Consider the following 12,569-nt stretch of genomic DNA (forward strand, 5'->3'; position numbering starts at 1 on the left):
CATTCAATAAATTACATGAGATATTCAATACTTTATTATGAAATAGTCTGTGTTAGATGATTTTGCTCAACTGTAGGCTAATGTAAGTGTTCTGAGCATGTTTAATACAGGCTAAGCTAAGCTATGACGTTCAGTAGGGTAGGTGTATTAAATGCATTTTTGACTCATGATGTTGTCAACTTATGATGGGCTTATCAGGATGTAACCCCATGTAAGTTGAGGAGCATCTGTGTTACTTATTGAAAATATAAACGAATAAATCATGAAATATTTTAAAGTGATACCCTAGAGCAACATGTAAGTTACTTGGGACCAGAAATCTGTATGTTTCTTGCACTCCACCAAAGAAATAAACAAATCACATTAAAGCCATTAAACATTATGGTCCCATTCCAAAGAATGACTTTCAAGGTCAATCCTGGGGGTGAGGATGATTTAACTCACTGATCAGAATCTTGTACAATGATAATAAAACCTCTGCAAGATGGCACAGAGCTCCTGAAAGACACCAAAGATCAGAATCCTCTACTAGTTAGGATAAGAATGGGGAACACATTTTTATCTCTAGTTTATGTCCAGAAATACACTCAAAGGCACGAAGTGACTTATTTCACATAACTGAGAGAGTTAAGTATCAGAGCCATTCAATCCATTCAGTGTAATATTTATTGAGAACGTATTGTGTACTAGGAAGTAAAGACATAGGGAAGAATCAGATGCCTTCCTGTTGCTGTCCTGGGACAGTTTGCCATCAAATCCATTCCTTGCACTTTTCCTGAGTTTGGTCAGTTATCACAGGGGGATGATTCCCTGAGGCTTCTGTGTCACATGGCTTCTGCCAAATAGGAGGCACTGAAGGAGACTGGAGGGCAGGAGGAAGGGAAAACCATAGTACCTCAGGTCCCCCACTTGACCTAGTGTGGAATCTCCAGCAGCAACAGTGTCTTCTCTGTGGCTCCACTAGCTGGCCAGGTCCACTGTGGTTCTGGCTTTTGCAAAGTGGCTCTGCACCCTGGATGCTGGTAGCATCTTCCCTCTTACTTTGCCCCTGTAGCCTAAGAGAGGTGGAGCTTCCTGTTATTGCTAACTTCTAAGTGGCCTCATCATTTCCTGCTGGATTCTCAGGTCCTTCATCAACAGTGAACCAATTGCCTGCATTCAATTCTCTGCTAAAATGCCCCAAAGTAGTCTGGACCCTGAAAGGCCTCTGCAGACTTTGTTTTCCCATGCTTTTTTCTTTCTTTTTTTTTTTTTTGAGACCAAATCTCACTCTGTCGCCCAGGCTGGAGTGTAGTGGTGTGGTCTCGGCTCACTGCAACCTCCGTCTCCTGGGTTCAAGCGGTTCTCCTGCCTTAGCCTCCCGAGTAGCTGGGATTACAAGCATGCATCACCATGCCCAGTTAATTTTTGTAGTTTTAGTAGAGGCAGGGTTTCACCATGTTGGCCAGGCTGGTCTCAAGCTCCTGACCTCAGGTGATCTGCCCACCTCAGCTTCCCAATATGCTGGGATTACAGGCGTAAGCTGCTGCACCCAGCTGATTTCCTGTGCTTTTAAGCCACCCTCTCTGCTTGGGCTATGATGGACAACGGAGCAGCAAAAACTGTCAGATTCCCAGAAGTGCCTGTTTCAGGGCCTCTTGCTCTACTATGACTGGTTGGCACCAGGGCCTCCTGGATGGGGAGGGACAATGTCCCTCCCAAAGGCCAACCCCCATGCCAACCTCTCCTCCCCAACAGCCCCTCTGGTTTAGAATTTAAGGGTCTTCAGGACAAGCAGTTCTAAGCTGAAAGGCTGCAACTGCAATTTAAAATATCTGCCACATGGAAGTAGGGAGTCGACCTAAGATAATCTTAAAGCTATGCAACTCTTACAAGTAGGCCTACAGAAGTCACAGTTCTGGTTATCGTGAAAAAAACAAATATGCTGTACAGTGGCCATAGTTGGAGAATATTTTCCCTCATAAGCAGAGCCTCATGGGTTTGGCAAACTGTTATACTGACCGAGGCAATCATTGTAAAGGAGAGTTTTTTTCATTTAGGGACCAGGACTTGGGAGTTCTTGGGGAATATCCAAGGCACCATTAAAAAATCATTGCTGAAGAAATTCTAAACATCTGTTTGACCTGGCCCATAGCAACATGTAGACTGCAGGAATGCTGAATGGGAAAACTGAGAAGCTCATCTCTATTTCCTGGGTCACCCTTGTGTTCCCTTTGCTTTATCCACTCATCAGTTCATCCAGCCATCTATCCATTCCTTCAGGGAGTATTTATTCACTGTCTACTCTGAGCCAGTCACTGGGTTGGACACTGGGAGATGGAATGAAGAGCAAAAGCAAACAAGGCTGCTTTACTCATGGAGCTGGTGAGGAAGACAGATGTTACTAAAAAGAAAAGATAAAATGAAATGTGAAACCACTACATGGTAACAGATATAAGGAGTTGAGGCATTGAGACTCAAGTTGGCAAAGCTCATAGCACACAGTTGCTGAACAGCAATAGGCTGTGGGTTTCTTATGGGCCTAGTGATGGGGCAAGGACGTCTTCAATGCGGTTTGTTTTTTTTCCTTACATTCTTATAGCATCATAGTTTATGAAATGCTTTAACACATATTGCCTCATTGGACTTTCACACCAATGCTGTAATGGCAAGATTGGAGAAAAAAAGAAGGTTGAGAATTACTGTAGCAGAAGTTAATTCAGATGAAAATATGACAGAAAGGGTACAGAAGTGAGGGCAAAAAGAGAACAAAGTGTTTTCAAGTCTCTATTCTTTATTTTTCAAAAATTAGCGGCCTTGTCTAAAAAAAATCCTAGTAATTATAAGCTAGGAAGGCAGAAGGAATGTCACAAACTTACATTCTAGCATTTTAGCTGTGGCAGAATTTGGTTATGCTACAGTTACACTTAGTTTTGCTGAGGCAAACAGAGACAAAGGTTCCTTTTCGAACAAAGGTATCTTTAGACCCAGAAGGAAAGAAAGTCAGCTGCAAATAGTAAAGGTCTCTAAAAGCAACAGCTAAAATTGCAGTAACAAATAACACTTTTCACATGTTTTAAGTGTGAAAAGGCCCAGTGGTCTTCATCTGGGACCTCTGGGTTACAATCATTCACTTGGATGGCTTCAAGTAAAAAGAAAGTAACATGGCAGCCTTTGGGGCTCTGTATTAAGAACTATATAAAGTGAGGAAGAGAAAGAAAAAATTTCATTTACAAAACAGGCTAAGCTTCCTGAGAATTACTGGTGTTTCTCAGAAAATATTAATCAGCTTGATGAACTCTTAGTACATTTACATGATGATCCTATTAGTTACAATAGGATAGATTTATACTGTGGTATAAAATGCTCCTGAAATCTCAGTCACTTAGTACAACAAAAGTTTATGAAAATAATATGCTGTATGTCCACAAAGGGTCCTATGTGTCAGAGTGGATACATGCTCCATTAGATCACTGGAGAAGCCAGGCTAAAGGGAAGCTCTGTCATTTTGTACTTGCACTTCCAGGAACACACATACTTATCATTGTCTCAGCCCAGAAGTGCACACATCACTTCCAGTCATATTTCATTAGCCAAAATTAGCCACAAGACCCAACATAATTGTGGGAAGGCCTGGAAATGCAGGGGAACAAAGGGACTATTTGGTGAGCACTACTCTCTCTGCCACAAGAACCTCTTTCCAGAATTCCACAAAACTGATCACAGGAGGTAAACTATCTTTGCCACAATTCCCCAAACCATAGTCAGGGCACAGAGTTTCCTTTAAAATCTTATTTTGAGTCTTTAGAAGAGATGAGAATTAGCATTTCTTGAGCTTCTACCATGTAGCCAACACTTTGTGCAATGGATACTGTGAACTTACTCAACCTCATTGCATCTTCTTTGTGATGTACCTTGCTGTACTACAGAGGATAGAATGCTTAAAGATATATCCACCTTCCCAGATTTCCTTGCAGTAAATCTTTCACTGAATCTGACTGTGATAACACTTGCTAAATATTGTTATATACATAAGTTCTTTTAACAACTTTCTGAGAACTCTTGATTGTTGAAATAAGTAAGCTTGTGACTATGGGTAGTTTAAGTTTGACCTTAAATAACTACAAGCATAAATTTGTTTGAAGTCTCATGTTGTACTTTGTCATAAAATGAACTCTACAATAAATTCTATCCTTCCAAAATTCAGAGTAAAATTCATGTTCCTAGAAGGTATACCTTTTCATTCAGTGCTTTATATATTCCCTGGTAAAACTCATCTTATTCAAGAAGTTATGCACTTGAGAGGCATGTAAACTGGCAATTCTGAAAAGTAGATCTTATTATGCCCATTTTACATATGGAATAACTGGGGCATAGAGAGGTAAAGTATTCGAGATCACAAAGAGACAGGATTCAAACCTAGGTCCATCTGATTACAAAGCCACATGCTCTTTCCACTACAACTTGCAGACTGCTATGAGAGCAGCAATTCATTAGTTCTCAGCTGCTATGAGCATTGGTTTTTAATGAAGTTTTCATTAGTTCATTTAGCTAAATGCTGGTATATAGCAGTTAGTTTTCTCTTCCACAGCTGAAAAAAGCTCAAAATGGTGTACTTCTCACCCTATGAAGGATTCCAAAAGAAAAGGTGGACAGAGCACAACAGAAATAGCTGGATAACTAGGAAAAAAATGACCAAGGTACATGTTCTAAATTGCTGGTGGCACAATTAAAACTAAACAGCTGGGCATGGTGGCTCACATCTGTAATATCAGCATTTTGGGAGGCTGAGGTAGGAGAATTGCCTGAGGCCAGGAGTTCAAGAGCAGCCTGGGCAACATAGTGAGACCCTGTCTCTACTACAAATAATTTCAAAAATTAGCTGGGCATGGTGGGTTTTGTGCACCTGCAGTCCCAGCTACTCAGGAGGCTGAAGTGGGAGAATCGCTGGAGCCCAGGAGGTCAAGGTTGCAGTGAGCTATGATCATGCCACTGCACTCCAGTCTGGGTGACAGAGTGAGACCCTATCTCAAAAAAAAAAAAAAAACTTTATACACAGAGATAATAATAGATTTGTAAAGGCTGGAAACCTGATGCATATGGAAGTCAACAGAACCTTGGGATTGCTCTGGTATCCACAGAAATATTTTGGTCCAAATTTCCACTCTGGCTCATGCACCTTGTTTTATTTGTCACTCTTCTTTTCTACATATCTGACAGCAGGCCAGAGAACTGTGCCATATAAATTTATTGGAATATTTCTATAAAGCCATACATGGCCTTGGAAAGCTTCTACACTTTCTTAGTGATTCAAGGCCTGTCTCTGTGTTTTCTGGAGAAATTAATCTAAGGATGCTATTTGCAAACTGACCTAGTTCTTCAAACTGTCAGCTACTACAGATGCAGGATTAGACAGAAGTATATAAAATCATGATGTGGTTTTCGTTTACCCAAACGGCTGTTTTATACTTTTCAACTGAAAATACGACTTTCCCAGGACTTAATAAAACCCTCTAAAAAATTCTTAACACATCTTCATGATACTGAAAGAATCCTTTGATAATCTTAGTAGGGCTGGATTTTTTTTTTAAGTGGGAGATTGGAGGATTTTACATTTGCTAAGTGTCTAGTATGTCCCAGGCATTAGGCAGATGTCAACTTATTTAATTCTAAAAATAGTATATTCATAGAGATACTATCATCCTCATTTCATATATTCAAAAAATTCAAAGAAGTTAAGTAAATTGCCAAAAGTCACCCAGATAATAAGTAGAAAAGATGGTAATGAAATCCAGGTTGGCCTGGTCTGAAAGTCAATTATCTTTTCAAGGCTGCACAACGGATTTGGTAAAAAATATTGATGGAGTGCTTGAGAAAATAGCTCCAAGAATTCTAACTTCTGGATCTAGGGTTTGGTTTCCAGGTAACATGAAGAAACATTTTCCGATTGTCTGAATGTTTAATAATACAGGCAGTGAAAAGAAATTGCACTGCTTGGCCTTTATTGTGTGTTTCATAACAGAGATCTGGGAGAGGGTTTTATTCTAGGGTGAAAAAAACACCACATTATAAGTGAAAGTGTGCGCATAAAGGGTAAGTGATTTGGCATTTTAAATGAAAGTAAATTAATGTTAAAAAACATTTTTGCAGCCTAGAGTTTTGACTTCCACTGAGAACAGTTACTGCTCAAATGTGCCCCCTTCCTCTCCTTATATCCCGTCTGTCTCTCTGCTGCCTTTTTATGGATATGTCACTATTAAAACCAGCTTGGCATTGTGACAACATTCTTACTGGTGCCTTCTCTAGTCTCCAGTTTTGTCATAATGGAAGAATATGGTCCCTGTAGACCTTGGCCACTTTCTGAGAAGAGTAAAAAACGAATGTCCAACCCTATTTCAGAGCTAAGCTGCCCTGTTCTCTCCCTGATACATGGCTCTTTTGCAACTTCCAGCTTGACCAAAACCAACTCTGTCTTCCTCTGAGCCTCTCAATTGTCACTTCCCTATCCAGCTCATATCACAGTGGCTAAAAGAAATCTTTATCAAAACTCTTTTATTAAACAACTTTTATTAAACAGGAAGCTATAAATACTGATTTGGGGCTGCCCAAGACATTTTTCTCCAACAGGGTCAGGAAATGAAGTATGTGGATTAACCACATTTTCTTATAACTAGTTATCACTTGTATTATACATATCAGACCTATTTTCAAAGAGGCAGAATGTAAATACAATTTTGTGACTTTTTTTTTTTGCCTCCAGATTCATTATTTGCCACTCTTTGCCTTGCTCTGTGCTCCAAGAGGTCAACCTCTATGGGCTAAATGGCATCACTCAGGCTCCTCCCTCACCTCTGGCTTCCAATTATGCATGGCCAACCAGAAGCCCCAAAGGGGATTCCATGGCGGAAGAAAAAGGTTGGGGTACTGACCTACCTCCAACCCCAGCTGGGCCACTGTTCCCCTCCCAGGGCTATAGTCCTCTCCAGGTGGTAGTAACTTGCTCTTTTTGCTCCTCAGACCCAAGGGTGGGTAAGAGCTTCCCACTGGGTGCTAGGTCCTGGGTGCTTCCCCACCACTTGTTGGTTCCCGAGACAGCCCCTTCCTCTGTCTATAGTTCCTGCATTATGCTCTTTAGCTGACATTTCAGGGATGACACCTGTCTCCTGACTGATACCACTCATTTATCCTTCTGTGTTTAGTGAGTGATTTCTATATACCATTCTAAAAATTGGCAAATACAAAAGAAAAACCATACATGCTGCTGTCCTTAACAAGCTTGGAAATCCAGTAAGGAACACAAAACTCTCAAAATGCAGTCGTACTCTAAGTCTCAATTTAGGCAATATCTCCAAAAGCCTAAACCTTTCCTCCACCTACCTCTGCCCTCCATCAAGACATACCTGACCTGAGTCCCATTGACTCAGGACCAGTGCAGTAAGCTAACTAATAGTGGCCAAGTGTGTGGCCGACTATGGCTCTGAGCAAAATTAATTCCGGAATACTTCTTTTTCCTCATCCCTCCAAGCCCATTTCATCACCAACTCCTGCCAATTCTATCTGTTTAAGTCTTTCAAATGTATCTAACTATTCTTCAGAATCACTGCCCTAACCTTATAAAAGAAGCCAGGATTAGTTCTCACCTAAATTTCTGCAACAGCATCCTAGCTAGTCTCCCAGCCTCTAGTCTTGCCTCCTATTGATCTATGCAGCCAGAGAGATCTTTGCTACATCACTCCATGGCTTCAGACCCCTCCTAGAAAAAAGTTCAAGTTATAAAGTGGCTTAGCTCTCATCATGATGACTTCTCCAGACTCATCTCTTGAGATATTTTTTTTTTTGCTTTCTTTTGAATTTTAATGTTTGTGGGTACACAGTAGGTATAGACACATTCTTCTTATGAATTGCTCCAAACAAACTAAACCTCCCATTCTTCAAGGAACTATAGAACTATATTTTTTCTTGCCTTAGTGTCTGTACTTACACTAGTTCCTTTGCTGAGAATACCCTCCCTGTCTTCCTATCTCAACCTTTGACCTGGCTAACACTTACTTTATTATTCAAGTCTAAGCATAGACATCACTCCCTGTTGACAACACCCAGCCTGCTTTAAAAACAGAACTTTGGATGCAGTGTCCTTCCTGCGAGGAAGACTCCATAGCATCCTGTACTTTCCTCATTGTCTTTCTATGATATTGTTTGCTTAATTACCAACTTACTTGTAGATATTCCCTACCTAATGGGAAGCTATGTCAGGGCAAGGACTCTGTCATTGATTGATGCAGCCTCAACATCCAGCAAAGAACCAAGACGACTGAAACTATCTATTGAAAAGTTGAAATTTAAGAAAGGGAGCAATATCTCAATTGCTAGTTCAACACACTAGCAATGTCAAAATTCCTGTTACAGTATTGTTTAGGATCAAAGGGAGTATCAGCCAATAGATACACACCTTATATGTCCACACAGGTCTTGTTTTAAGTGTATCTGCAGTGCTGTGTCCCAAACTCATTCTCCACTAAGGAAATCCAAATTTCACATGTGTCAAAAGAAGAAAGAGCAGGGGTGTCTTTGTGATGCCCCCATTTCCACTGTAGAATCTCCAGGCTAGGTGATGCCTGCTTGAATAGAGGATGCCTGCATGATAGCATTGGAGTTATTTTCAGAGGCATCATTATCTCTGCTTGAAAATCCTTGGGCAGCTTTTTGCAAACAAAATAGAGTTCAATTAATGTATCAAGAACAAAGGATCAAGACCTATATAGTGAGTCAAGATTAGCAAAAATCCTTCAGCACCCAGATGGTCAAGTTTAACCTCTCAGAGTGCACTTTGGAAACTAAAATTTTCCAGGAATGGTGCTGACAGGTACGGACATGGGCTAAAATGAACTCATAAAGAGCTCTGTATTGATGAAGTCATAGAACCATGCTTGGTGAACCCTCTCCTCAACTCTTTCTTAAGGTAAACTGGAGGTACTTAAATTCATTTTTTAACTAGCTTACCACTGCCAGTGAAACCTCATTAATTCATTCACACTGATTAAAAATGTATGATAATTAGGATGAATGCTGAAGTTTATCTAGGAAGAAAACAAATTTTCTTAAAAATAACAAGACTAGAAAAATATTTTTTAAGCTCATTAAAATGAATCTTTTGTGTACTCTGTTATATACCAATATGCAAATTATGCAAGGATTCTCTTCGGGAAAAACGGTGGTTTGGCTATTCATGTTGATCTCCTGCCTTTTGTAAGATCCAGTAAAAAGACAGTAAAGGAGGTCTAAACTCACAGGAGAACAAGACAGGCACAACATGTTTGGAGGACAGACAGCGATGGAGCTGGGTTACTGACTCTGCAGAGTGGAGGAAGAGTATAAAATGCTATAACCTAAAGGGCCACAAAGAGAATTCCATCCAGATGTGAGTCCCTTGGCTCTGCACAACCTGCATGGGCTCAGAACCTCCAGAGACAGGGTAGGGGGTGATATGGCCCTGAAAAGAGGGCCCTAAATGAAGTCTGTATGCTGAGTGTTGGGACTCTCAGAACAGTGGAAAGTGGGTATTCTCCCACTATCTACCCCCAATCCACACTCAAAAAGACAGAATGATTCTCCCATAAGTAACTGCACAGACCCAGGTAAAGCTTCTAAACACTGATATTTGCAGAATTGGGAAGGATCTCTTGGTAAGGCTTGGTTCACCAAGCAATAACTCTATGTGAATTCTCACCAGTTGACATCCCCCTCCCCACTCCCCACATAGGTTCCAACATGTTTTACTCAGTGCAAGAAATGAACAGATAGCAATGGATCACCAGACATTTGAGAAAACCTCCAGTAAAGAAGATGAAGATAAAAACAAACAAACAAACAAACAAACAGAAAACAGTAAATGGAGGAAAAAAGAACACAAAGAAAAGTAAAAAGAGAGAATATTCTCCAAGAATTAACGGAAAATATGACATCCAAAAAAGAACAAAATTCTATAAAAAAATTCAGAAAACAAAAAGCTAAAATATGACAGGTAAAAGGTGAACAAAATATATTCATGAGAAGGATTAAAAAATAAAGTAAAAAAAAAGGTAATGTAAGCAATAGAGAAAAAAACCTTACAACATCAATCTAGAAGCCTCAACATCCTTCTAACAAGACATGTGAAGAGAGATAACAAAAAAAGAGAGGAAGACATTATAAGATTAATAAATTCCCATTGCTTTAAAAAATAAATCTTTTAGATCTATTTGAGTTTTAAATTATCTGTCTTATCATTTTGATAACATTTAAAATTTCACTTAAAATAATTTTAAAAAGGGACTGTATGAGATCTATTTTGTTAGGTCTGTTATGAGTGCCACCAGGCAGTACTTCTTTACTTAGTCTCATTCACTATATATGCTTAAAAATAATACAACCATTTAGTACTTGTTTCCTATTTCAAATTTCTGACTAATTCAACCCAACCTCTCTGAACTTCTCCTTCCCAACCACCATTAAAACGATTGCTGAAATGTCAGTATGTATTCTACTTCCTAAATTTCTCAAATGCAGAGTGCCCACACTGTTGAATCTAAGGCTAACATCACCTCTTTTTGTATGTATACCCTTTCTACCATAACAAAGTATTTCACATGGGTTGCCTAAGTGAGAAGCAAATACTGACATGTATGTAGGTGGGTGGGTACGTAGGTAGATAGACGATAGATAGATAGATAGACAAATAGGTAGATACATAGATAGCTGAAAAAGCATGACCAAAATGGTGGTTCTGGTGGTAGAGGGCAGTCCATAATTTCAAATGAAGGAGGTAAATTATCCAAAAGATAATACTCATAGTTTTTTGTTTGTTTTTAGTTTTTTTTTTTTTTTTTTTGAGATGGGGACTCGCTCTTTCGCCCAGGCCAGACTGCAGTGGCGCTATCTCGGCTCACTGCAACCTCCGCCTCCTGGGTTCACGCCATTCTCCTGCCTCAGCCTCCCGAGTAGCTGGGACTACAGGCGCCCGCCACTGCGCCTGGCTAATTTTTTGTATTTTTAGTAGAGACGGGGTTTCACTGCGTTAGCCAGGATGGTCTCAATCTCCTGACCTCGTGATCCACCCACCTCGGCCTCCCAAAGTGCTGGGATTACAGGCGTGAGCCACCGCACCCGGCCTGTTTTTAGTTTTAAATTGAATGGTAAATGTTTAACTTCTTATGTTAAATTACACTTGAAAAAATAGAATATTGACTTTTGTTGATGATATACACAGCCGATTACAAGCAATTCCACTGCTGTGTTTCAGGAGGTTTCCAGTTCCAGCAAAACAATGATCTACATAAATTCAGGAATGCTTCTGCCACTGACACCTGGGTTTTCTAGATAAAGTATAATAAGAAAAATGTGCTTGTTTGTGTAATGCTGATCTTACAAGAAAGAAAAGGAAACTCCCAGGTGTCAAAAAAAGGGGGTGGGGGCGGCATTACAAATCAGAATGGTGAGTATTTAAGCTAATCATAAAGCATCCCTGGGAAAGTGGGTAGGGTGGTGTGGTGACTGCAGTGGGTCAGGTAGTGGTGGGTGAGTTGAGGACTTGGAATTTGACAAATAAAAGATAGTTAAGGTATTGAGAACCCATGAGTTGGGAAAATGGAACTGAGGTCCCTACAAAAAGCCAGAAATCTCAAAGGGCTTAAAAATGTCTGTGAAAGAATGTCTTACAAAATAATCTCTGCTTGACAGCTTGACCTTCCAGTTCTCTCTCCTGGACTCTGAGTACAGAGAGAAAAAAAAGTCCCCTTTTCTTGCACCCAGCAATGAGGATATTTTGACTGAAAGCTACATTTACCCCATAGTTATCCTGCCACCAATTAGAGGATGCCAACATTAAGTCATCTAATCATAATAATCAAACATGATTATATTATTGGCCACATTTTATAGATAATGTCTTAGTCTGTTAGGTAATGTCTTAGTCTGCTATAACAAAATACTTCTGACTGGGAAACTTATAAACAACATACATTTATTGATCACAGTTCTGGGGACTGGAAAGTCCAAGATCAAGACACTAGCAGATTTGGTGTCTGGTTAGAGCCTCACAGTGCCTATTATGTGTCCTTATGTAGCAGGAGGGGCACATAGGCACCCTTGGGCTCTTTTATAAAGGCACTAATCCTGTTCATGAGGATGGAGCCCTTATGACCTAATCATCTTCCACAGGCCCCATCTCTTAATACTATTACAATGGAGAGGAGTTTTCAACATATGAATTTTGGGGAGACACAAACATTCAGACCGTAACATTCTGTCCCTAGCATGCCCAAATTCATGTCTTTCTCACATGCAAAATACATTCATTCCATCACAATAGCCCCCAAAATTCTTAACTCATTCCAGCATCAACTCAAAAGTCTAAAATCTGAAGTCTCTCTAAATGTCGTCTAAATCACATGTAAGTGAGACTCAAAGATATGCTTCATCTTGAAGCAAATTTCCCTCCAGATGTAGGCCTGTGAAATCAGACAAGTTATGCATTTCAAAATGCAATGGTGGGACAGGCACAGAATAGGAGAGAAAGGGAAAAATAGGAAGAAAGAAAGGAATAACAGGTCTTG

At 40.0% G+C, this 12,569-nt stretch overlaps 1 protein-coding gene across 4 annotated transcripts in view; it reads right to left on the reverse strand.

Moving 5' to 3' along the window:
- Positions 1-12,569, reverse strand: part of SNTB1 (syntrophin beta 1) — a 276,291-nt gene that overhangs the window by 136,298 nt on the left and 127,424 nt on the right. The gene's annotated exons all lie outside the window — the stretch shown is intronic.

The sequence above is a fragment of the Homo sapiens genome, chromosome 8 (genome assembly GCF_000001405.40).
Source record: "Homo sapiens chromosome 8, GRCh38.p14 Primary Assembly".
NCBI classification, from domain to species: Eukaryota; Metazoa; Chordata; class Mammalia; order Primates; family Hominidae; genus Homo; species Homo sapiens.